Source organism: Homo sapiens, chromosome 11 (genome assembly GCF_000001405.40).
Source record: "Homo sapiens chromosome 11, GRCh38.p14 Primary Assembly".
NCBI lineage: Eukaryota > Metazoa > Chordata > Mammalia > Primates > Hominidae > Homo > Homo sapiens.
The window spans coordinates 6,559,867-6,586,068 of record NC_000011.10 but is presented as its reverse complement, the minus strand read 5'-3'; the positions used below and the strand labels follow the sequence as shown (position 1 = coordinate 6,586,068).

The 26,202-nt window shown below is 45.4% G+C and overlaps 1 protein-coding gene across 1 annotated transcript in view, besides 2 other annotated features; it reads right to left on the bottom strand.

Moving 5' to 3' along the window:
* Positions 1-14,048: 14,048 nt before the first annotated feature.
* DNHD1 (dynein heavy chain domain 1) overlaps positions 14,049-26,202 on the bottom strand; it is a 74,741-nt gene continuing 62,587 nt past the window's right edge. Inside the window, exons 29-43 of the mRNA NM_144666.3 lie at positions 22,938-23,087; positions 22,505-22,687; positions 21,945-22,376; positions 21,265-21,736; positions 20,078-20,374; positions 19,676-19,828; positions 19,304-19,482; positions 18,209-19,174; positions 17,827-18,013; positions 17,493-17,615; positions 17,203-17,404; positions 15,969-16,060; positions 15,673-15,822; positions 14,646-15,451; positions 14,049-14,433 (exon numbers count right to left, since the gene is read on the bottom strand). Of these exons, the coding sequence (NP_653267.2) occupies positions 14,083-14,433; positions 14,646-15,451; positions 15,673-15,822; positions 15,969-16,060; positions 17,203-17,404; positions 17,493-17,615; positions 17,827-18,013; positions 18,209-19,174; positions 19,304-19,482; positions 19,676-19,828; positions 20,078-20,374; positions 21,265-21,736; positions 21,945-22,376; positions 22,505-22,687; positions 22,938-23,087 (4,743 nt within the window). The 3' untranslated portion in view covers positions 14,049-14,082. The remainder of the gene's footprint in view (positions 14,434-14,645; positions 15,452-15,672; positions 15,823-15,968; positions 16,061-17,202; positions 17,405-17,492; positions 17,616-17,826; positions 18,014-18,208; positions 19,175-19,303; positions 19,483-19,675; positions 19,829-20,077; positions 20,375-21,264; positions 21,737-21,944; positions 22,377-22,504; positions 22,688-22,937; positions 23,088-26,202) is intronic.
* Positions 14,457-14,964: an enhancer, noted in NCBI's record as "H3K27ac-H3K4me1 hESC enhancer chr11:6592335-6592842 (GRCh37/hg19 assembly coordinates)". NCBI's record gives its function as "activates a minimal SCP1, AML or CMV promoter by ChIP-STARR-seq in primed H9 embryonic stem cells {active_cell/tissue: H9 hESC(primed)}" and the evidence as "EXISTENCE:reporter gene assay evidence [ECO:0000049][PMID:30033119]".
* Positions 17,319-18,176: an enhancer, noted in NCBI's record as "H3K27ac-H3K4me1 hESC enhancer chr11:6589123-6589980 (GRCh37/hg19 assembly coordinates)". NCBI's record gives its function as "activates a minimal SCP1, AML or CMV promoter by ChIP-STARR-seq in primed H9 embryonic stem cells {active_cell/tissue: H9 hESC(primed)}" and the evidence as "EXISTENCE:reporter gene assay evidence [ECO:0000049][PMID:30033119]".

Sequence of the window (26,202 nt, the reverse complement as noted above, 5' to 3'; positions counted from 1 at the left end):
AGCCATTTTAACTGAGGTGAGATGATATCTCATTGTAGTTTTGATTTGCATTTATCTGATGATTAATGATGCTGAACACCTTTTCATTTACCTGTTTGCCATTTGTATCTCTTCTTTTGAGAAATGTCTATTAAGATTTTTTGCCTGTTTTTAAAATCAGATTATTAGATTTTTTCTTCTTTTAAAAATTTTCTTTTTGAGATGGAATCTCTATCATCCAGGCCTGAGTGCAGTAGCGCGATCTCAGCCCACTGCAGCCTCCACTTCTTAGGTTCAAGCGATTCTCATGCCTCAGCCTGCCTAGTAGCTGGGATTACAGGTGTGCACCACCATGCCTGGATAATTTTTGTATTTTTTTTAGTAGAGATGAGGTTTCACCATGTTGGCCAGGCTAGGTCTCAAACTCCTGACCTCAGGTGATCTGCCTGCCTCAGCCTCCCAAAGTGCTGGGATTACAGGTGTAAGCCACCATGCCTAGCCTAGATTTTTCTTTTTTTTGGAGGGGGTTGGGGGGTACAGAATCTTCCTCTTGTCACCCAGGCTGGAGTGCAGTGGCACAATCTTGGCTCACTGCAACCCCCACCTCTCAGGTTCAAGCGATTCTCCTACCTCAGACTCCCAAGTAGCTAGGATTACAGGCACCTGCCACCACGCCCAGCTAGTTTTTGTATTTTTAGTAGAGATGGGGTTTCACCATGTTGGCCAGGTTGGTCTCGAACTCCTGACCTCGAGCAGTCCACCTGCCTCAGCCTCCCAAAGTGCTAGGATTACAGGTGTGAGCCACTGCACCTGGCCAATTTTTTTTCTTATAGAGTTAGTTGTTTGAGCTCCTTATGTATTCTGATTATTAATCCTTTGTCAGATGGATAGTTTGCAAATATTTTTTCCCATTCCGTGGTTTGTCTTTTCACTTTGTTGATTGTTTCTTTTACTGTGCAGAAGCTTTTTAACTTGATGTGATCCCATTTGTCCATTTTTGCTTTGATTGCTTGTGCTTTTGGGGTATTACTCAAGAAATCTTTGCCAAGATCAATGTCTTGGAGGGTTTCCCCAAGGTTTTCTTTCATTAGTTTCATAGTTTGAGGTCTCAGATCTAAGTCTTTAATCTATTTTGATTTGATTTTTATATATGGCAAGAGAGAGGAGCCTAGTTTGATTCTTTTGCATATGTATATCCTATTTTCCCAGCACCATTTATTGAAGAGACCGTCCTTTCCCCAACGTATGTTCTTGGCACTTTTGTCAAAAATGAGTTTACTGTAGATGTATGGATTTATTTCTGGGTTCTGTATGCTGTTCCATTGGTCTATGTGTCTGTTTTTTTGGCAGTACCATGCTGTTTTGGTTATTATAGCTCTGTAGTATAATCTGAAGACAGGTAATATGATTCCTTCAGTTTTGTTCTTTTGCTCAGGATGGCTTTGTCTCTTCTGGGTCTTTTGTGCTTCTATATGAATTTTAAGATTATTTTTTCGATTTCTGTGAAGAATGTCACTGGTATTTCGATAGGGATTGCAGTGAATCTGTAGATTGCTTTGGATAGTACGGACATTTTAACAATATCAGTTCTTCCAATCCATGAACATGGAATATCTATCAATTTTTTGTCTGTGTCCTCTTCAGTTTCTTGCATCAATGTTTTATAGTTTTCATTATAGAGGTCTCTCACTTGTTTGGTTAAGTTTATTCCTAGGTATCTTATTTTATTTGTTGCTATTGTAAATGGGATTACTTTCTTGATTTCTTTATCAGATTGTTTGTTGTTGGCATATAGAAATGCTACTGATTTTTGTATGTTGATTTTACATTCTGCAATTTTACTGAATTTGTTTATCAGTTCTAATAGCTTTTGGTGGAGCCTTTAGGTTTTTCCAAATAAAAGATAATATAATCTGCAAATATGGATAATTTGGCTTCTTCCTTTCCAACTTGGATGCCATTTATTTTTTTTTCTCCTGTCTGATTACTCTAGGTAGGACTTCTATTACTATGTTGAATGACAGTAGTGAAAATGGGCATCCCTGTCTAGTTCCAGATCTTAGAGGAAAAGTTTTCAGTTTTTCCCCATTCAGTATATTAGCTGTGGGCCTGTAATATATGGCTTTTATTATGTTGAGGTATGTTCCTTCTATACCCAGTTTTTGGAGGGCTTTTTTAAATCATAAAAGGATGTTGAGTGTTATCAAATGTTTTAAAAGCATCAATTAAAATGATCATATGGTTTTTGGTCTTCATTCTGTTGATATGATACATCACATTGATTGATTTGCATATGTTGAACCATCCTTGCATTCCTGGGATAAATCCCTCTTGGCCATGATGAATGATCTTTTTAATGGGGTGTTGAATTAGGTTTCCTAGTATTTTATTGAGGATTTTTGCATAAATGTTCATCAGTGATATAGTTTCCTTTTTTTGATGTGTCTTTGTCTGGTTTTGCTATCAGGGTAACGCTGGCTCACAGAATGAGTTTCAAAGTACTCCCTCCTCTATTTTTTTTTTTTGAATAGTCTGAGTAGGGTTCATATTAGTTCTTTAAATGTATCATAAAATTAGTCAGTGCAGCTGTTGGGTCCTGTGCTTTTCTTAGCTGGAAGACTTTTTTATTATGGCTTTGATCTCATTACTTGTTATTGGTCTATTTAGGTTTTGGATTTCTTCATGGTTTAATCTTAGTAAGTTGCATATGTCTAGGAATTTATGTCTTCCAGCTTTTCCAGTTTATTGGCATTTAGTTGCTCATAGTCTCTGATGATCCTTTGAATTTCTGTGGTATCAGTTGTAATGACTCCTTTTTCATCTGATTTTGTTTGGGTCTTCTCTCTTTTATTCTTAGTCTGGCTAAAGGTTTGTTGACTTTATCTTTTCAAAAAACCTGTTCATTTTATTGATCCTTTGTATTTTTAAAAATTGAATCTCACTTATTTCTGCTTGATATTTGTTATGTCTTCTTTTAATTTTCCGTTTGGTTTGCTTTTGCTTTTCTAGTTCTTGAAGATGCATCATTAGGTTGTTCATTTGAAGTTTTTCTACTTTTTTGATTAGGTGCTTATTGCTATAAACTTTCCTCAGTACTGCTTTTGTTATATCCCGTAGATTTTGGTCTGTCGTATTTCCATTTTCATTTGTTTCAAATATTTTTAAATTTTTTTTCTTATTTGTTGATCCACTGGCCATTAAGCATATTATTTAATTTCCATGTGTTCATATAGTTTCCAAAGTTCCTCCTATTATTGATTTTATTCCATTGTGGTCAAGGAAGATACTTGATATTTTTCACATATTTTTGAAATGTTTAAGGCTTGTTTTATGGCCTAATATATGGTTTATCATTGAAAATAACACGTGTTGAGGGGAAGAATATAATATGTATCCTTCAGCCATTGGATGAAATGTTCTGTAAATATCTGTAAGATCCATTTACTCTATAGTGCAGATTAAATCTGACATTTCTTTGTTGATTTTCTGTCTGGATGACCTGTCTAATGCTGAAAGTGGGGTAATTAAGTCTTCAGCTGTTATTGTATTGGGGCCTATCTCTCTCTTTAGTTCTAAAGATATTTGCTTTATATATCTGGGTGCTCCAGTGTTGGGTGCATATATGTTTACAATTATTATATCCTCTTGCTGAATTTACCCCTTTATCATTATGTAATGACCTTCTTTGTCTTGAAATCTGTTTTGTCTGATGCAAATATAGCTACTCCTGCTCTTTTTTGGTTTCAATTTGCATTGAATATCATTTTGTATTTGTTTATTTTTAGTCTATGTGTGTCTTTATAGGTGAAGGGTGTTTCTTACAGGAAAAAGATTATTGGGTCTTGTTTTTTCATCTGTTCAGCCATTCTATATCTTTTGATTGGAGATTTTAGTGCATTTACATTCAATGTTATTATTGATAAGTAAGGACTTACTCCTGTCATTTTGTTATTTGTTTTCTGGTTGTTTTGTGATCCTTTCTTCCATCTGTCCATCCATCTTCCTTTTTGTGAAGGTGATTTTCCCGGGTGGTATTTTTTTTCTTTTTTTTTTTTTTTTTGAGACGGAATTTCACTCTTGTTGCCCAGGCTGGAGTGCAATGGCACGATCTCGGTTCACTGCAACCACTGCCTCCCAGGCTCAAGCGATTCTCCTGTGTCAACCTCCCAAGTAGCTGAGATTACAGGTGCATGCCACCATGCCCAGCTAATTTTGTATCTTTAGTAGAGACGGGGTTTCACCATGTGGGCCAGGCTGGTCTTGAACTCCTGACCTCAGTGATTCACCCACTTCAGCCTCCCAAAGTCCTGGAATTACAGGCGTGAACCACTGTGCCTGGCTTTTAAATTTTTTTTCTTTTGTTTCCTCTGTGTATTTTCAAATAGCCTATCTTCAAGCTCACTAATTCTTTCTACTGCTTGATCCATTCTGCTGTTGAAAGACTCCATTGCATTCTTCAGTATGTCAATAGAATTTTTCAGCTCCAGGATTTCTGCTTGATCCTTTTAAATTATTTTACTCTCTTTGTTAAATTTATCTGATAGGGTTCTGAATTCCTTCTTTGTGTTATCTTGAATTTTTTTTTTTAGCTTTCTCAAAACAAGCTGTTTTGAATTCTCTGTCCAAAAGGTCACACATCTCTGTTACTCCAGGATTTGTCACTAGTGCCTTATTTACTTTGTTCAGTGATGCCATGTTTTCCTGGATGGTCTTGATGCTTATGGATGTCCATCAGTGTCTGGGCATTGAAGAATTAGGTATTTGTACTCTTTGCAGTCTGGGTTTATTTATAACCATCCTTCTTTGGAATGCAATCCAAATATTCAAAGAGAATTTAGTGTTGTGATCTAAGTCTTTGGTCACTGCAGCCATATCTGCATTAGTGAGAACCCCCAGCCCAGTAATTGCTGTGGCTCTTGTAGATTCATAGAGGTAGCACTTTGATGGTGTTGGGTAAGATTCATGAGCATTCCCTTGATTATGAGGCAGAGACTCTTGTTCTCTTCTCTTAATTTCCCCCAAACAAACAAAGTCTGTCTGTCTGTGCTGAGCTGCTTGGAGCTGGAGAAGAGGTGACACAAGCACCCCTATAGCCACCATCACTGTGATTATGCTGGGTTACACCTGAAGCCAGCACAGCACTGGGTCTTGCCCAAGGCCTGTAGTGACTACTGCCTGGTTACCGCTGATGTTCCCTCAAGGCCCAAGGTCTCTACAGTCAGCAGGTGGTGCATCTAGCCAGGCTTGTTGCCTTCCCTTCAGGGTAGCAAGCTACCCCTCAGTCCAGAAATACCATCCAATAGCTGGGGCCTGAAGTCAGGAACCTTAGTAATATACTTGGTGGCCTATTCTACTGTGGCTGAGCTGGCACACAAGCCGTAAGACAAGTCCTTCCCACTCTTTCCTTTCCTTTCCTGAAGCAGAAGGACCCTCTCCCTATGGCCACCACTACTTCAAGCCTGCAGCAAGTATTGCGTGGCTAACACCGTTGTTCATTCAAGGTCCAATGGCTCTTCAGTCAGCTTGTGGTGAATGCTGCTAAGCCTGGATGTCTCCCTGCAGGGCAATAGACTCCCCTCTGGTCCAGGGCAGGTCAAGAAATGCACCCAGGAACCAAGGCCTGGAATCAGGAACCCCAGGGAGCCCACTTAGTACTCTACCTCACCTTGGCCAAGCTGTACCCAAGTCGCAAGACAAAGTCCCCATTATTCTTCCCTCTCCTTTCTTCAAGCAGTAGGAGTATCTCCCCATGGCCACCACAGCTAGGAATGTGTTGGGTCACCCCTGAAGCCCTCACAGCACTGGGTCTCACTGCAGGCCCCTGGGTAAGTACTGCCTGACAACCACTGAGGTTTATTCAAGGCCCAAGAGCTCTTTAGTCAGCAGGTGATGAATCCTTCCAGGACTGAGTCCTTCCCATGAAGGACGTGGGTTCCCTTCTGGCCCAGGGTGTGTCTATCTTGTAGAAGATAGGACCTGAAATGGGGGTCTCAGGACTCCTGCTCGTGCTCTGTTCTACTGTGGCTGAGCTAGTGTTCAAGTTGCAAAACAGAGTTCTCTTTACTTTCCCCTCTCCTCTCCTTAAGTGGAAGGAAAGAGTCTCTCCCAGAGCTGCAAACTGCACTGCCTGTGGTTGGGGGACAGGTAATGCAAGCAGTCCTTTGGTTGCCTCAGCTGGTGTCTCACTAGGTCATGTACACCCCAAGTCCACTGGCTCCAAGCCCAGCACAGCACCAGTACTTGCCCAGAAATTGCAGTCCCTGTGGCCTAGACTGCCTTTCAAGTTTATTTAGGACACCAGGGCACTTTAGCCTATGGTCATGGGGCTTGCCAGAACTCAGGTTCCAGCCACCGGAATGGACATTTCCCCTCTGGCTGGGGCTGGTCTAAATTCTCCCTTCGTGGGCACTGGCTGGATTCTGTTTTTGCTGTTTTCCACCCAGATAGGCAGCACTGAGTTCCAATGCAAAGTCCCACAATCACTCTGCTCTCCTTCCAGCAAGTGCACAGATTCTCTCTGTGTGCCACCTGGCCACAGAAAAATAAATAGAAATAATGAAAATACAACAAAGCAAAAGTTGTGAGATGCAGCTAAATAAATGTTAGAGAGTGATGTATAGCTTTCAATGCTTATATGGGAAATAAGAAACACCTAAAATCGGCCAGGCACGGTGGCTCATGCCTGTAATCCCAGCACTTTGGGAGGCCAAGGTGGGTGGATCACCTGAGGTCAGGAGTTTGAGGCCAGCCTAGCCAACATGGTGAAACCCCATCTCTGCTAAAAATACAAAAATTAGCTGGGCGTGGTGGCACGCACCTGTAATTCCAGCTACTCGGGAGGTTGAGGCAGGAGAATCGCTTGAACCCGGGAGGTGGAGGTTGCAGTGAGCCCAGATCGTGCCACTGCACTCCAGCTTAGGTGACAGAGAGAGACTCTGACTCTGTATTAAAAAAAAAAACAAAACTCGAAAAAACCCTAAAATAAATAATCTAAGTTTCCACATTAAGAAGCTAGAAAAAGAGAAAATTAAAACAAAAATAAGTAAAAGAAAGGAAATTTAAAAAGATAAAAGTTGAAAGTGATAAAATAGAAACTGGAGAACCAATAGAGAAAATCAATGAAACACAAAGCTAATTCTCTGAAAGGATCAATAGAATTGACAAATCTTTTATTTAGACTGATCAAAAATACGAAGACTGAAAATATGAATGAAAGCAGGGACATCCCTATAGATCCTACAGACATTAAAAGGATAATAAGGGACTATTATGAACAACTTATACCAGTAACTTCAAAAACTTACGTTCTATCTAAGATAAAATTTTTGAAAATACCACAATGGACTCAGAAAGAAGTGGAAAATCTGATAGCCTTGTATCTACTAAAGAAATAGAATTTGTCATTAAAAACCTCTCTCTCTCTCTCACACACACACACACACACACACACACACACACACACACACACACATCAAAACAAAAAAACTCCAGGCCCAGATGGCTTTACTGTCAAATTCTATCAACCTTTTAAGAAATATCACTCCTACATAAACTCTTAGAAAGTACAGTAGGAGAGAACACTTCCCAAATCTCTTCCTCCCTCCCTCCCTCCCTCCCTCCCTTCCTTCCTTCCTTCCTTCACTTTCTCTTTCTCTCTCTTTCCTTTTTTTTTTTTTTTTTTTTTTTTGGGGACATAGTCTTACCTTGTCACCAAGTTTGGAGTGCAGTGGTGAAGTAGTGTAATCACAGTTTACTGCAGCCTCCACCCCCTGGGCTCAAGCAATTATCCCACCTCAGCCTCCTGTGTAGCTGAGACCACAGGTGTACACTACCACACCGAGCTAATTTTTCAAATTTTTTACAGAGAGAGATTCTGTCTATGGTGTCCAGGCTGGTCTTGAACTCCTGGGCTCAAGCTATCCTCCCACCTCAGCCTCTCAAAGTCTCAGCTCATTTTGTGTGTGACCATCTGAGACATAAACCTGAAAGTGGAATTGGTAGAACAGAGTATACTTAATTTTACTAAGTGCTGTCAGATTGCTCCCCAGAGTAACTACACCAGTTTCCGCATCTGCCAACAATGCTTGAGGATTCTTGTTTTCCGCTATCTCACTAAATCTTGGTATGACAGAGGCAACAGAATGCTGTAGAGATCATGGATTCTGGAGACAAATGCCTGGGTTCCAAAACAGGTTCTACCATTTTCTGGCCGTGTGACCTTGGGCAGTTTACTGAATGTGTGTCTCAGTTTCCTCATCTATAAAATGGAATAATAATAGTACCTATTTTACAGATACTAGGGCTTCATAAGCATTAGTGTATGAAACTGTCATTTTTTAATATTTCAGACATTTCCCCCATTTATCCTGTTCTGAATATAAATTTCAAATTAGACTGTAAAGCTGCAAAACTAAATGAGTTTTTAGGTGAGCTGCAGAGTGCTAGTCAGATTTTTTTCGTTTTTGGATTATTAGTCTATGTAGTATACAGAGCAGGATCACAATTTTTCTTACAAAGTTGGATACATAAATAAAATGTAGCTTTTTTCTCAATTACTGATCTGATTTTCCTCACAAATCTTACTCCTTCCTCTTCACTGGGTAGTGGAAGAGGCTGGAAATAAATTTGGTTTCATTTCATTAGGTTTCATTTATTCTCTTTGAAATAAATGCTCAGAATTTTAAATTCCTCCCATTCTAATGCTGCTCCTCTCTAAAGTGGCATCTGGGTATAGAGAGGAGGGCTTATGTGACCTTTTGATGTTAGACTGAAGGGATCCTCAAGCCTAACACTGGCTTTGGTTGTGCACAAGTTGGAATCCTCTGGGTAGTTGGCTCAGTTTCATACCTGGGCATTCTGCCAACATTTGCCTCTAAAGCTGATGAATTTGTGGTCTTGTGCCCCCTGTTCCTCCCCACTCCCCCCAGTTTGGCCCTCTCTCAACAACTCTCTTTGGTGCTGGAAACCCCAGTGATTCTCTGCCGCATACTCCTGTGGGCCTAAAGCCTCTCTAGTCAGTATCTACGCCATATAGGGATTAAGAGACACCTCTTCCTGACCATGCTGCTCTGCTCTCTTAATGCTGTTGGGACCACAGTTAGTCCATCCGTGCTACAGAACAGCTTCCTTCCACAGTTCCAGTAGGGAAAAGGCAAAAGCCTCTTTGCCCTTGGCGCTGCTGCTTCCTTCTCTGAGGCTTCGCAGCCCCAGGTCAGGTTGATTACATCATATTCTTCCCTTTCTTGTCTCTACTCCATTTACCCCCGTTCATCAGAATGGGAAGAGACATATTTCTCCCCTTTGTCAAGCCTCTTACTTCTTCCTTCCTTTCATTGTTTGGGATTTTAACTTCCTAATGGGATTTTAATTGCTCTAGTAGAACTTAATAGTGCAATTATCAAATCTGGAACATTTTTACATAGCAGTCATTGTATTTGGGCTATGCTGTCATATGGAACTCATTTAATAATCTCTACTAGACAAAGTTTAACAACTTGGCTGGGCATAATTCAAGAATGACTTCAGTCTAGAAAATGGCATGGATATGTAGAAAATATTCTAACCAATTTCAGATGGTTTTACAGATATCTCACTATTGTTCCCTGCTCCCACTGGAGGACAAATAGTGGTAATGGTAAACATAGACAGATGGTTCATTTTTCCAAAAGGACTTCTTTTAATACTCTACTTATCTCCTTTCCTGAAGGCACAGCCATGCACCCTAGTTGACTGTAGAAAAGGGCTCTGAGGAAAGTGGGAGTTTTTGCCTCTCTGCTCAGCCTTTTGTTAAAGAACATCAGTTGCACCACACTCACTGGTGAGTTACCATTTTGAAGAGGTTGTGAAGAGTGATGCTCAGTACAGGCACACCTCATTTTATTTTTTGCTGTGCTTTATTGCACATCATAGTGTGTTTTATAAAAATTGAAGATTTGTGGCAACCCCGTTTTGAGCTAGTCTATCAGCACTATTTTCCCAATAGCATGTGCTTACTTTTTGTCTCTGTGCCACATTTTGATAATTCTTACAGTATTTCAAACCTTTGCATTATTATTATATCAGTGTGATCAGTGATCTTTGATGTTGGTATTGTAATCATTTGGGGGCACCACAGGCTGCACTCACATGAGATGGCAAACTTAATCGATAAATGTCGTGTGTGTTTTGACTGCTTCACTGACCGCCTGTTCCCCCATCTCTCTCCCTCTTGTTGGGCCTCCCTGCTCCCTGAGACAAACAATATAGAAATTAGTCCAATTAATAATCCAACAGTGGCTTCTAGGTGTTCAAGTGAAAGGAAGAGTTGCATGTCTCTCACTTTAAATCAAAAGCTAAAAATGACTAAGCTCGGTGAGGGAGGCAGGTCAAAAGCCACGGTAAGCTACAAACTAGGTTTCTTGTGCCAGTTAGCCAAGTTGTGAATGCAAGGAAAAAGTTCTTGAAGGAAATTAAAAGTGCAATTCCTGTGAACATGTGACTGATAAAGCAAAACACAGCCTTACTGCTGATATGGAGGAAGTTTTAGTGATCTGGATAGCAGATCAAACCAGCCACAACATTCCCTTAAGCCAAAGCCTAATCCAGGACAAGGCCCTAATTCTCTTCAATTCTATGAAGGCTGAGAGAGGCAAGGAAGCTGCAGAATAAAAGTCTGAAGTTTGCAGAGATTGGTTCATGAAGTTTAAGGAAAGCCATTTCCATAACATAAAACTGCAAGGTGAAACAGCAAGTGCTAATGTGGAAGCTGCAGTGAATTGATGAAGGTGGCTACACCAAACAACAGATTTTCCATGTAGATGAAACACCCTTCTGTTGGAAGGAGATGGCATCTAGGACTTACTGTAGCTAGAGAAGAGAAGACAATGCCTGGCATCAAAGCTTCAAAGGACAGGCTGACCACCTGTTAGGGGCCAGTGTAGCTGGTGACTTTAAGTTGAAGCCAATGCTCATTTAACATTCCGAAAATCCTAGGGCCCTTAAGAATTATGCTAAATCTGCTATGTCTGTGCTGTCTTAATGGAACAACAAAGCCTGTATGACGGTACATCGGTTTACAGCATGGTTTACTGACTATCTTAAGCCTACTGTTAAGACCTACTGCTCAGAACAAAAAGATTCTTTTAAAGATTTTGCTGCTCATTGGCAATACACCGAAGAGCTCTGATGGACATGTACAAGGAGATGAATGTTGTTTTCATGCCGGCTATCACAACATCTATTGTGCAGCTCATGGATCAGAGAGTAATTTTGACTTTCAGATCTTATTAAGAAATACATTTGTAAGGCTATTGCTGCTATAGTCTTATAGTGTTATTAAGAAATTCATTTTGTAAAGAAATGAAAATTTAAAAAAAGAAATACATTTTGTGAGACTATTGCTGCTATAGGAACCACTATAGATAGTGATTCCTCCAATGGATCTGGGCAAAGTAAATTGAAAACCTTCTGGAAAGGATTCACCATTCTAGATGCCATTAAGAACATTTTTGATTCATGATAGGAGGTCAAAATATCAATATTAACAGGAGTTTGGAAGAAGTTGATTCAACTCTCATGGATGATTTTGAGGAGTTCAAGACTTCATTGGAGGAAGTAACTGCAGATGTGGTGGAAGCAGCAAGAGAATTAGAATAAGAAGTGGAGCCTGAAGATATGACTGAGTTACTGTAATCTCATGATAAAACTTTAATGGGTGAGCAGTTGCTCTTATGGATCAGCAAAGAAAGTGGTTTCTTGAGATGGAATCTATATTTCTGATGCTGTGAACATTGTTGAAATGACAACAAATGATTTAGAATATTACATAAACTTAGTTAATAAAGGAACAGCAGGGTTTGAGAGGATTAACTCCAATTTTGAAATAAGTTCTGTAGGTAAAATGCTGTAAAACACCATCACATGCCACAGACAAATTCTTCATGAAAATATGAGTCCATTGATATGGACTCGTATTCACTGTTGTTTTATTTTAAGAAATTGCCACAACCTTCAGCAGTCACCACCCTGATCAGCAGCTATCAATATTAAGGCAAAAAAGATTACTAGCAAAAAGATTACTATTTGCTGAAGGCTCAGATGATTATTAGCATTTTTAGCAATAAAGTATTTTTAAACTAAGGTATGCAATTTTTTTTTTTTTTTTTTTTTTAGACAGGGTCTTGCTCTGTCACCCAGGCTGGAGTACAGTGGCACAATCTCGGCTCGCTGCAACCTCCACCTCCTGGGTTCAAGAGATTCTTCTGCTGCCTCAGTCTCCTGAGTAGCTTGGATTACAGGTGCCCGTCACCACACCTCGCTAATTTTTGTATTTTTAGTAGAGACAGGGTTTCACCATGTTGGCCAGGCTGGTATACCTTGTTTTTTTTTTTAACTTAACATAATGCTATTTCATGCTTAATAGACTACAATATAGTGTAAATGTAACCCATATGCAGTGGGAAACCAAAAAGTTCATGTGACTTGCAATATTCGCCTTATTGTGGTGGTCTGGAACCAAACCCACAATAGCTTCAAGTATGCCTGTATACACTTCTGTTTGCATTTCCTCCCACCACGTAGCTGGTACCTAGCCATAGAGCAAGGGAGCTGAGTTTATTAATACTACGTAAGTTTTGATGCTTGGGGGCAAGGAGTGAAGCTCATATAGGCCTTTGGTTCTGCCATACTCTAACTCAACTTTTGTCGGACAGGCTCGCCCTGGCCTAGCAGGCAGTCATGCAACTAATAATAACAGAAAATATCAAAGCAGCAGAACTCTTGATTCCTTAGCTCCAGCTGCTTGCTCCCTCAAATTTCCCATCTCAGTTAATGACACATGATACACCTAGTTTCTCAAGCTTAAAATCCAAATCACCCTAGATTCTTCCTCTTCCTTTATTCTCCACATCCATTCCATCAGTCCTGCTGGTTTTACCTCCAGAATAGTTCTTAAATCTGTCAGTTCTTCATCTCTATTTAAACCCTTGCCCAAACTCCATTATCCCTTACTTGAATTACTTCAGTTGGGTCCAAATAGATCTTCTACCTTGTCACCCTGGCTTTTCTAGCATCCATCCACCATAGAACAGGCAGAGTGACCTTTGAAAAAATGCAAATTAGATCATATACTCTCCCACCTACTATTTGACAATACATTCTCATTATACTTTTGAAAAATACAAGATCATTACCACGGCCACGTGAGCCACCCCTTTCTATACGTTCCCATCATTTTGGGTCGCTCTGCCCCTCACTCGCCATGCTCTGGCTGCATACGCTGTTTCTTGAACACTTCAAGGTTGTTCCTGCCTCAAGACTTTTGTACCTACTGAGGGCTCTACCTGAATGAATATTCCTTCTAGATCTTTAAATAGCTACTTTCAAATATGCAGAAAGCTTCCTTGACCACTCAGATTATACTAACTGCTCCCGTCTCATCACATACCCTCTTGACGCATCGGTCTATTTTGTTTTCTTTATAGGACTTCAAAATCATCAAAATTATTTATATGTTGGCCTTTTATTGCCTGTTGCCCTACACTAGAATAACCTTATTAGCACATAGAAGAATACCTGGTTCCAAGGAATGCTCAATGAATAATTGTTGAATGAACATAGGACCTTGTATCTTACTTGGCTTTTTTCATATGCATGACTCACTGAGAGAATCCATCGTAGGAGAGGAATGAGTGGTAGGGCAGGATTGAGGCACTGCCAAGAACACCACTAAATGCCTTAAGAAAGAATTTTGAGTGCTAATGTTCTCCTTTCAAACATATCCCTTGTGGATTTAGCACAAGTGCTGAGACCACAGTAGAGAGCGGGGCAAGGATTTAGGATTCTGTGTGTCAGCCACTGCTGGGTCTGCCTAGCTTCTTGGATACATGATTAACACCAAGTCCCACCCCACCCCAACTGTACCCACACTTTCCCCTTCCCGGCTGCCAGGCACATGCCCTCTTCTACCTTCGGTGTGAATATACCTCCTCTTTTCTCAGTTATGCACACTGTACCTTTCTCCTAGTGTGTCACATTCTGCCTTCTTGGTGTGCACACACCCTACTCTACCCCCATATCTCAGAAATCTTTCATGGAATCACTACAACTTTATTTTGGTAGACGGGCTCAAGACAGGGGTGGGCTGCACACATGGACCCTCCTTTGGACACAGGTGTTGGGGGTGAGCTTGGTGGGTAAAGGCAGATGCATCACGATGTTCCTGCTCTGCAGCTTAGCGGTGCCAAGGGGCCCTCCCATGTACACAGGACACGAGTACACAGTCAGGTCGGCTGGGGCTGGCAGGTCACTGGTGCCCGGGGCCTGTGTGCTGATGCTGACGGGAGGCAGAGGGCTGGGTTGGCTGGAAGGACTGTCCTGCAAGGCTCCAGCTATTGGGTCCCACTCCGCATGTAGGACCTGTAGCCCGATCAGCAGCAGCCCTCTCTCTGGAACCGTGGGATTTGGACCATTCTCCACCTGGGGGCGTCAGAAGCTGGTCAGGCAAGGCTAGGAAGCTGGGAGGTGGCAGGTGGGAAGTGGGGGTTAGCGGGTAGGAGGTCGTGGTGAAGCGAGATCGGAGAAGCTAGCAGGGTTACCGGGGGCAAGATCACCAAGAAGGGGTAACTGCGAGGTGTAATTAGAGACTTCGAGGGGACTGGAACCGCGAACGAGGGGCGGCGCGAAGATACCCTGAAGTGCAGAGGGTTGCTGTTCATCTCCAGACGTTTATACTGGAGCTGACTGGAGACCGAGCCTCGGCTACCAGGGAAATTCGAGCTGGGCACATTCTGGTCCAGGGCAGCTTCCCCACGCAATGCCAGCAGCAGGCGGCGCGGGTGGCGAAAGGCTGACAGGTGGAAGACGCGCTCTGGTACATCACTGCTCGCGTCCGCGCCCACGCCCAAGTAACGAACCAACAGTTGCCCACGGCGCGACAACTGTCGCAGCCAGTGCCAGGGCGGCTGCGGACCGGCCGGCGCATGAGGTCGCCAAGGCAAGGGTAGGCGGCCAGTCCAGAGAGCGTGGGCCACCGCAGCACAGCGGCGGGAGGGGCACGGGGGTGCGCCCTTCAGCTGCTGCAACAGGCAATCAAGGTCGCGTTGTAGCGTGCCCACCAACTGGCTCAGTTCTAGAGCCTCGGTCTCTAAGACGCCCTCCAGAGGCCGCCGTGCATTTGGCCCCAGCACTGACCACGGGGCGTCGGACTCGTCTTGGCGAATCACGTGGGTCAGCAGATCCTGCAGTGACTCCAGCCTCCGGTTGACTTGCACTAGGCGTTGCCGCAGTCGCCTTTCCGCAAGCTGGGCGCCTCTTCGAGACTCAGGAACCCACACGGGTGAACTCCGCTGCAGCGCACTCAAGAGAGCGCGACTCTGGCGTCGCAACAGCCAGGCTTGGGGGCCCTCACTCAGTCCGCAGAGCCGGGGTTCAGGTGGTGAGGGCAGTAGGTGCATCTGGGCCTTGCACTCTGCCATTGCATCCAGCTCCCTTAGCTCTTGGGGATAGAGGTGAGGGGTGAGGGACAAGATGGACTCTCCCCACCCTAGACTCGAGAGAGTAGGCCTTCCTCTGAGCCTTTACTGCCATCACCCCCATAACAGTATGAATATTACCCCCTCATATACCTTTATTGAGACTGCTGTCCACATTTCTGTGGGGGGTGGCATTGCATTGCACTATTCCCTACCCCAAAACAGATACCTGAGTGAGGCTTACCTGGGAGGGGCATGAGCGTGGCCAGCAAAGACTGAGGTGTGTGTGGCTGGACCCAGCTCCCACTACTGGGGCTCAGGCAGGCTTGTGTGAGGCTAATCAGGGCCTCCCTGTCCTCAGTGTCCCCCAGAGGACCCCCGTAGAAAACTGAAGCTGAAGATGAGGTTAGAGTCTCTCAGTTCCAGTACCTTCAGTTTCCACCACCGCCAAAACCAAAGCTGTGAATTGTATCCCACCCCCACCCTCTTCCAGGCTCTCCTGGGGGCTGATGACTCCAAGGGGGAGAGGAAGGGTCTCACCAGCCAGCTCTTGCATGGCAGCACGGGGATTGCTAAGACTTGCCCACAGCTGGTCTTGGGTCTGAAGAACCTGGGTTAGAGTCACTTGACTCCTAGAGAAGGGGAGCGGAAAGCAGGGTTTCACATATCATCTATATGCTGAGGACTGTCAAGTCTTGTCTTCAGTTCAAACCTCTCTCCTGAGCTTCGGGTTCATTGCCACTTGGCACCTCAAATACAACTTGCTTTCAACTGAAATCATCATTTCCCCCCACAAAACCTGTTCCACCTCCTATTTCAGTGAGAGGTACCGCCAGCCACCCAATTATCTAAAGCAAAAATCTGAGAGTCATCCTCGACACCTCCTTCCTCTTCACCCCATATTTATTCTCTATCCCTTCCATGGCTACTACCCTACTACCCATACCACAATCTCTTCCCTGGAGACTTCCAGAGTCTCCTAAAGCTGCTCTGCTTGCCCCCAGTCCTGCCTCCTCTGATCCATTCTCCATGTTGCATCCAGAGTGATCCTTCCAACACACAAAAAGGATATTGTTTCTTCTTCTACTTAAAACCCTTCAGTGGCTTCCCACTGTCTTCAGGATAAAATCAGGCACCTTGCCCTAGTCTTTTTTTTTTGAGACAGAGTCTCGCACTGTCACCCAGGCTGGAGTGCAGTGGTGCAATCTCGGCTCACTGCAAGCTCCACCTCCCAGGTTCACGCCATTCTCCTGCCTCAGCCTCCCAAGTAGCTGGGACTACAGGCACCTGCCACCATGCCTGGCTAAGTTTTTGTATTTTTAGTACAGATGGGGTTTCACTGTGTTAGCCAGGATGGTCACGATCTCCTGACCTCGTGATCCATCCGCCTCGCCTCCCAAAGTGCTGAGATTACAGGCATGAGCCACTGTACCTGGCCTACCTTGCCCTAGTCTTAAAGGCCCTTTATAATGAACCTTACTTCTCCCTCCTCAACACCCAGCATGTCCACGTCAACCACACTCAAGTCTCCTCCCTTCTACTGAGTTTAGGTCCCTCTGCTCAGAAAGGCCCATCTCTACCTGATTTGCCTCTGCTTTTAAGACTCAATTCAAAGTAAAATCTCAAAGTCTTTGGAGAAGCCTTCCTTGACTTCCCCTTGCCCTTGCTCTTTGGAGCTTCCAAAGATGAATTAGTTTTACTCATCCCAGCATATGGAAGATACTCAATGTTTGTTGAGTGATTGACTGAGCAGGAATGGGTGGGGGTCCCTCACCAGCGCCCCCTGTGTGCCTGCAGCCTTGTTCCATAGAGCTGCCGGTGTAGCAGGAGGCCATGGAGGAGGAGCAGAGGTAGTGCCTGGGTGGGGGGTTGCATGTAGAGTACTTGCTGGGCTAGCTCCACACTGTCAATCAAAACATGGCCCAGCTCCAGGGACTGGTTCCAGAAAACAGGCATGGAGTGCTGAGTCAGCACAGCTGGGGAGGAAGGAGAGTGCTGAGTCAGCACAGCACAGTTGCCCTCCCACTTCCAATTTGAGAGCCTGTAGGGGGTTAAGCTCCTCACCTGGCAAAGAAGCACTAGACTCTGCAGGCACAATAAGCCAAAGACGAAAATCTCTGTGAACAGTGCTTACATTCCTGCTTTCAGGTTGGTCTAAAAGCTGTTCTGATTCCAGGTCTGCAACCACTAGAGTCAGACAAGGGTCTGAGATCAGTCCTTGGATAAAGGGTCAGGCAGAAGTCTAGGAATCAGACTTGAGGCTAGGGGTGTCAGGAGTCAGATACAAGGCCAAGTGGACAAGTTTGGTGCTAGGTCACTGGCCATGAGGCCTGAGATTTCAAGCTAAGGCCCAAGTGTAGGATAGGATCCTGGAAGCCAATCTAGGCAATAAACTCACCCTTGGCTCTGCCTAACAGTTCCAGCAAGAGCTGTAGCAGCTCTTTCGGCCAATGGGGCATCAGATGACAGTTGTCCAGCACCAGCCAGTGCCCCTCATACATAGCCTGGGATAGAGTGCTGACCACAACTGAGACTGGGTCCCAGGCTTCAGAGCCCAGGGCTATCACCTGCAGTTGCTTCTGCCCCTGGGGACCAAAAAAGAGATGGCAGCATGACTCAAAGTGATCCTAGGGTGACCCGAGGGACCCAAACTAATGCTACCATGATCCCCAAAGTCCCTACGTAGTACAGAAAGATCCATGAAAATGCTTGGAGGGGGTCCCCCATGCCCCAGCCCACAGGAGCCTGGTCACTCTGTGGCCAAGAAACTAGGTTCAAACCTGCTGATACTTGGCAGCCAGTTTCTGGATGACAGTCAGAGGATGCAGAGTGGCTGAGGGGTGGCCAGGCGGTGGCAACAAGATCAGCATGGGCTGAGTAGCCTGACTATGTTTAAAGGGCATGGTGGGAGCATACGTGTTTTCATCCAGGGGCCGACCCAGGAGGCTAGTGGTGAAGTCTGCCAGGGCACCTGCCAGGCACTCAGGTCGCAGAACGCGCCACAGGATCAGCTTCTGGAGGAGGCTGAGTGGCTCAGGCCCTGGCCCAGGTGCAGGACCCAGCACTGTGGATGACAGTGACAGGTAAGCCTGCCAAGCACTGGAGTGGCCTGCCAGGGAGGCACACAGGCCAACAAATGGGGGCAGCAGCTCTAACATCTCACATTCATGCCAGGCTTTTGGCCCAAGCCAGGCCGGTCGAGCCACATCTGAGACTGGCTTGCTGTGGACTGTGCTGGGAGAGGCTGCTAGTCCAGGCCAGAGTGCCAGTCTTTCCAGCTCTGATGCTTTCCCTGTTGCTTGCAGCAGAGCCAAAGCGCCCAATGCACCCACCAAGGGTACTTGGGTAAGGCCCAGTGCAGTCACGGTGCTGCCCAGCAGCTGGCGGGTCAGGTGTGCTCTCAATTGCAGTAGATGGCTGGCCAGGTCCTCCCCGTGATTAATCTCACGTGGCTTCATGCTGTCCAGAGCCTGCTTAGTGACTGCCAGCCAGTTCTCTGGGCTCATACAGAAAAGTGGCAGCAGGTTCTGCAGTTGGCTTAGGGCCTTTACCATGGCCATTCCATGCCAAACCACAGGTCGATAGGGTGCCCACAATACCATCTCCTGTAGTTTCTGCCCTTCTAACTCTTCACAATGAGCACGCAGCTGGCATAGCTTTCCTTGGGCCCTCACTATGTTCCGCAGAAACTTGGCTGGCTTCTGACGCTTCGGATTCTGGAACAGCAGCATCGTCAGCAGCCGCTCCTGCATACACTCATTTGTTGGATGGATCTGGCCCTTTCCCACAGACCCCAAACATCTACATTCATCTCCACCCCCTTACCCAGGTCCATCCAATGCTCATCTCAACCCACAGACTGAGCCCCCAAGCACCTCAGCAGCCTCCACAGCCTTGCAGGTATCTAGGGCTCTGATCTTTAGGTCCTGCCAGCGGGTCTCGAGTTCAGGATACTCTCTGCACAAGATTTCATGCAGCATCTGTTCTTCCAGTATTTCCATGTTCAGGCCCAGATCCAACACATTCAGCCCCTTTAGCAGTTCACAACCTAGCACTTGGGGTAACATGGGAGATGCTTAACCTCTTCCCCTTGGCAGAGCCAGGGGGTAGAGTAGACAGGGAGTATGGCTCCCTGCTATAGACCTGTGCCTGCTCTGGGCCAGGTTGAGTGAAGCCCTCTTAGGGCTGGTGCTGAGGGCCTAGTGTGTCCACACAACTGTGCTGGCAATTTGCCCTCTGGGCCTCACCTTTTTCCATGGCACAGAGGGAGAGGGTGGTGCTGAGATACAGACAGAAGCCAGGCTGCACCTGGGGTGGACTCAGCTGCTCCCGTTGCAGCAGCCATTGCAGTTCTTCGCACCCTAGACCCAGCTCCACATTGGTCAGTAACACAGGCAGGCCTGTGAGAGGGAGGCAAAGGCACCCTACCCACAATGCCAGCACCCATGATCCCCATTCCCCAGGCACGAGGTCTGGCTCTGACCAGCTTCCCTGTGGCTGATAGGAGGGTTCCCACAAGACGCTTCAATATAGTTAGTGCCTGGGATGAAGGATGGGAACTGAAGTTAGACTGAGGTGTGGGAGGCCTGTGGGGTCACAGAATGGGGCAAGTCAAAAAGGGGCCAGGGTGGGTGGGGACCAGCTCTCACCACAAGCAGCTGCCTCCTGGAGCTGAGAACCCAGCTCTGGGTCAGCACCTGAAAGAACACTAAGGTAGGGAAGGGATGGAAGCTGAGTCTCATAGGCTGGCTTTGACCCCTGGCTCTCTGTCTTCTCCTCCTCTTTCTCTTCATTTTCCTCTTGCTCTTTCTCCTGCTCATTTTTTCTTTCCTCTGCCTTCTGCTCTTTTGTCTGGTCCTCAGCCTCATTACTCTCTTCACTCTCATCATCTTCCTCTTTCATGTCCGTTTTACTCTCTCTCTTTTGATTTCTCATGAGGCCTTTCCCTGGGGCAGAAAGATTCAGAGGAGCTCTTCTTAGGGGAGGAATCAGACTCCTTAGGGGAGGAATTCACTGAAGGGCTCCATTTCATGAGGGAAGGTCTGCAGGAAGACATCTTAGGAAAGTTGCTTAAGCTCTCTATGACTCAATTTTCTTATCTGCAAAATGGGGTTGATATTAGTGGCGACCTCATAGGGTTACTGTGAAGATTAAATGAAATGATACATAGAAAACACTTAGATGTGCACGTAGTGAGCACTCAATAAATGTTGGCTATCACAATTATTACTCTAAAATTCCAGGGAGGGATCCTATTCATCCTCTGTCTTCACATAGCCTCTCTTCTGTATTTTCTATGCCTTTTCTTCTGCCTCTTGTAAGGGCACTTGCAGGATTTAGGGCCCATCCGGATAAGAATCAGGGTGATCTCATTCAAAGTCCTTAACTTAATTACATCTGAAAGGACCCCTTTCCAAATAAGGTCACATTTTTCTCACAAACTCAATCCCCAGCCTCTTCTTCTGGGGAATAAACACTCTATTCCTTTTCCTAGAAAATGTTCCTTCCAATACTCCACCCAGATGGGTCCCCGATCCAAACAGAGCCAACAGAAATATTCCCCAGGATTTCTGAACATTGGATAAATTTGGGTAGTGCTGAGTAGACCAGGGAAGTGGAAGATCATGGACCAATCAGTCATGTAGATTCAGAATCATTGTAATAAAGAGAAAAAATAAATGTGACCAAATTTGTTCCTATAGTATAGGCTGGTGAAATCTGGGACATCCTGATCACAAAAATACAGTGTCCTCATTATGAAGGGAAAGACCACATGAGGCTGAGTGTTGGGCAGTTCAGATACTCCGGAAGCATTGCATTTATTATGCCTGCTTACCTCTACCCTCAGTGAGGGCTGGCGCAAAAGATCGATTCTCTTCCAGAGGCAGCGGGTCCAACCAGATGAGGGCCTCGTTGCTGGGGTCAAGCAGCAGAGGCCAACGGCAACTACTGTAGTGTGTGGGGCTTCGCAGAAGCAAGCCTGCCAGGTGGGCCGACTTTGCCTGTGGCTTCAGGTTTCCATCCCACTGGTACTGCTCCGATTCAGAGCTCAGCAAGGACAGAATACTGAAGGGAGAGTGTGTAGCCAGCAGGGGGTTCTTTGGTGGTATGCTGACAGATTTTTGCTTCCGCTTCAGTGCCTGTGCCACATCATCTGGGCCCAGAGCCTCCTGAAAGCCCCTACACAGAGCTAACCACTCGTCCAGTAGCTCTTGGCGCCGCAATGGTGGGAAGGGACCCAGGTAGATGATGGCAGCTGAACATAGGAGGGTATCTCCAAACACAGTCATGCAGCGTCCCTTCAGCTTCTGGAGTGGAAGGGAAGACCAGAGGCTGTGTAGGCCAGTGAGGAGGGTGCAGGCAGAGATATGGCAGAGGGAGGGCAAGGTGGGGTGTGGAGGAAAGTACGGCAAGGAGTGCAGAGAGGGACAGAGGGAGGCAGTGAGGGCACAGGGAGGAGCAGGCGAACGGCATAAAAGGAACTTTGGGGGAGACATCTGGGAGGGGGATGGTTACCTGGAGCTGTGTAGTCCAGGCACGCATAGGCGTGAGCAGTGCAGCCTTCATGGGCCATTTGTGATACTGCCCACACTGTGCTTGACTGAGGGTCTTTGCCACGCAGTTGTGGGAAGCTTGGGCATCCTCCACCATCTTAGCCAGGGCCAAATTATGCTCCAGGGTCTCCTGGGCCTGAAACTGGTAGTAGCCCAGGCGGGCCTGCTCCCGAGTGAGTGTTGCCTCCACTTGCTGCAGCAGCAGGTCCGTGGGCAGTCCCCGGCAATGCGCCAGCCCATAGTGCAGAACAGCCCAGAGCCAGGCTGCCAGGCTGGCTGCAGGTCGGCTCACTGCCCGCAGGGCTGCATCGTCCATACCTGGAGCCTTCAGAATTAGATGTAACTTTATCAGCTCTGAGTCTGTTATCTTCTCCTTGGGGAAGAACACCAGCTCCTGGAAGGATGTATGTTAACGGGATGGGGAAGCCACGGATGCTCTGGACCTTGACCCAACAGTTTAGCCTTGCCAAGTGTCCCTTTATGCCTCCCCTATCCTCCTTCATTGTGCTCCACCCTTCCTACCTGATAAAAATCCTCAGTGCATAACAGCTGTTTGGCACTGGCCCAGCCTGTTTCATGGTGGAACAAGTCACACATTGCATCAGTTACCCGGACCACAGATTCTGGTGGTGCTCGATAGCTCCGTATCTCCTCAAAGTCAGCCACCTGCAGCTGGCTCAGAGGCTCCAGAAATGCCTTGCTCATCTAAATGAGGAGAGATACCCTCTGAAGTGAGCTCCTGAGATGTTCTGTTCTTCCTTCAAGGTGTTTTTAGGGGAATCATCTCCTTGGAGTCCCCATGAGAGGCCACTCCCCAAGCCATCCTATTACCTTTGTCCCCTCCCCCCAGGAGATTCCATGATGAGTCACTCCATCCTCTCCTCTTGGTATCCTTAGAGGGGTTGCCCTCTTTTGAGAGAGGAGCAGTGCAGGGCAGGCGGCAGGAAGAGCCCACCTGCTCCAGGAAAGCCTCTCGCTGAGCTTGCAGGGCATCCCGTTGCCTGGCCAGGTTCTCAATGAGGTTCTCTTGATGCCGACACTCTTCCAGCTGCTGCTTGTATAGGAGCTTGCTTTGCTCTAGCTGCTGCTGAAACATGCTGAGACTCTGCAGAGACAGATCCAGGCCCTGCAGCTCCAGATCTTGGGCCACGCGGGAAACCCCAGAAGACCCTATGATCCTGGAACTGTAGCACACTCCTCACTTGAAAGACTGACCACGTTGAACTCCAAGTAGGCCACAGAGAGAGGCTGAGCTCTGGGTCTGTCACTTATTAGTCTGTGAGTTATATATCTAGTAACGCAGCCCCAAGTGTGTGGTTGCTTTTTCTGCAGCCGCTTCACCCGAAGACTATGCGTGTAACAGTTATGTTACACTACTCTATATTTTAGTTGACCCATTAGCAGCAGTTGTCACAGAAGACAGTTCCCTCCCTCTTGAGGCATCCTCCTCTCTTGGCCTTCATGATACTGTGTTCTCCTTGGGCTTTCTCTAACTTCTCTGGCTGCTCTTTCTCATTCTCTTCCTCTGTCAGCCCTTAACTATTCCTCATCAATTTTTTCAGAGCCTCCTTTCTCTTCTCACTCTACACTTCTAAATGCCCTCCCTAATCTCATGGCTTTGATTCCTACTTACGTTCCAACTGCCAAATCTCTCTCTCTAGCTAGGTTCCCTCCCTGCCCCATACCGTGTATTCATTTGCCTAGTGGAAATCTTCCCTTGGGGGTCTCACAGGCCCCTCAGACTCCACATGTCCCCAAATGAATGTATTGGTTATGCGTCCTCAGCTCTCCTGCAATCTGACTCCTCTCCTGTGTATTCTTTTTCTCAGAGAATGGTGGCAAGATTCCCAAGGAACAAACTGAGTTGTTACCCTTGGCTCCATCTCCTGAATCCCCCCAAATCCAGCCCATCTTTGAGACCTTTCAATTCTACCTCCTAAATGCCTCTCGTGTCCACTGCCCTTCCCAATGTCAGTCACTCATGCTCAGGCCCTCTCACTCCCGACCTTCTACACTGGCCTCCTAACTGGTCTCTCAGTTTCCACTCTTACTTCCCTCCTTTTATTCCCCCACTGCAGCCTGGCTGGTTTTCTAAAAACTGAATCATTGTCATTAACACTTGTCACTTCTACATTTGATTGACAATACCCCCATGACCAGGCCCCTACTCATCATTTCAATCTCATCTCTTTTCTCTCTCCTAGCACGCTACTTTCCAGCCATTCCTGACTTTCAGTTCCTCCAATGTGGCACACACTCTTTTGCCTCTAGGCCTTTCACATGCTGTTATATCAACCTGGGACATTCTGTCACTTGGCCCCTTTCAAACACTGATCAGATCTGACCTAACTTTCAGGCATCAACTGTCATGTACTTCATTCATTTGTTTATACAGTTAGTGAATGTTTTTGAGCTCCTACCATGTTATATACACGCTCTGTGCTGCACAGCGGGGCACTCTGCTTTCTCTAGAAAGTTTTTCTTGATATTTGGAGTGCTCTGAACTTACTCTGTTATAACACGGTTTTGTCATTGCCTGGATGAGTCTATATCTTCTTATCTTCTGCTAAACTATAAGCACCATGAAGGTAAGGATAGTGCCCTATCTCCTCTTATTAGGAAGCAATCTAACCTATTTTTTTCTTTTTTTTCTTTTTTGGAGACAAGGTCTCACTATGTCACCCAAGCTGGAGTGCAGTGGTGCAATCATTTCTCACTGCAGCTTCAACCTCCCAGGCTCAGGTGATCCTCCCACCTCAGACTCCTGAGTAGCTGGAACTACAGATAGGTGCTACCATGCCTGAGTAATTTTTTGTAGAGACAGTGTTTTGCTGTGTTGCCCAGGCTGGTCTTGAACTCCTGGGCTCAAGTGATCCATTGGCAGTGGCCTTCCAAAGTGCTGGGATTACAGGCATGAGCCACTGTGCCTGGCCTAACCTAATATTAATAGTAACTAACATTTATTGAGCTCTATGTGCCAGCACATTTAAATACTTGACATGTAAGATCTTGTTTAATCCTCATCACAACCTTATAAGGTTAGGGAAGTCTCCCTAACCTTTCTGGATCTTTGTTTTCTCATCTGTAAAGTGAGAAAAGAATAGCTACCTCAGAAAGGTGTGGGCAAGGATTCTATCATCTATCTATCTATCCATCCATCTAGATGTAAATGTAGGCATATATTGACATAGACATAAATATTAAGAAATGCCTGAACAAAAAATAAATTTTTGTTGAGTGCAATAATGAAAAAATTAACCAGTTAAATATAAGAGAGTAAAGAGATGGAGGGGCCCAGAATGAGTCCTGGGATTTGGCTCAGTGGGTGGTAATGCCTTTTCTTGGGGTGGGGAACACTGGAAGAAGTACACACTATTATGGCTATTGAATGAACGACCAAGGGATCTGACTCTGAATGACCCTGAGACTACGAACATCTCTTATCCAGACCTTTGGCTTACTGTGTTCTGCTCTGGTGTAACTGACTCACAGATCAAGGAATACTAGGACCCCTAAACCAGATCAACAATCCTGGTATTAATCATCTTGGGAAAATGTAGGGCAAAAAACTGGGAAAGGGGATTTCTGTTGCTCTCTGACTTTCTTTTCTTTCTTTGCAACTTAACTGAGTCTTGAGGTCTAATCTAAGCTGTTCATCCTAGGTGGTGAATAGTAGGAGGGCACCAGTACCTTTAAAACTCCAGGGGATACCATTTATGTAAAACACAGTGAAAACCATATTAGTAGACACGACATATGCCATGTCTCTGGAGTTGTGTGGCACTGGATGATAGTCCTAAAGGCACTTATCAGAAGAGCTGGCTAGGTATTAGGAGCTTAAGACCTGAAACCCTAGTAGAAAGATTATCTGAGTGTGAGATGGGCACTAGTTCACTGCTCTGAAGTTATACCAGAATATTTATCAACATCTTGTGTAGTAGGAAAAAAAGGTGCTATTTTAGAATTCTTCTTATTAAAAACAAAACTGCTCTTTAGTTTGGGAAGACACCTTTAACTAGGAGTATTTGGCTTTAGAAGGTGTGATAAGCCCTATCATCACCAATTTTAGCCAGATATAAGAAGTTTGTTTATTCAAAGAATAAGATTGTTCTGTATGACAGCAAAAGGTTTTGAGGTTTCAACTAGAAGGGAGCGCTAAAGGAAAAATGGGACGGCTCAAAAACATTGTAGAGCAGGTGTTAGAGAGACGAGAGAGGAAA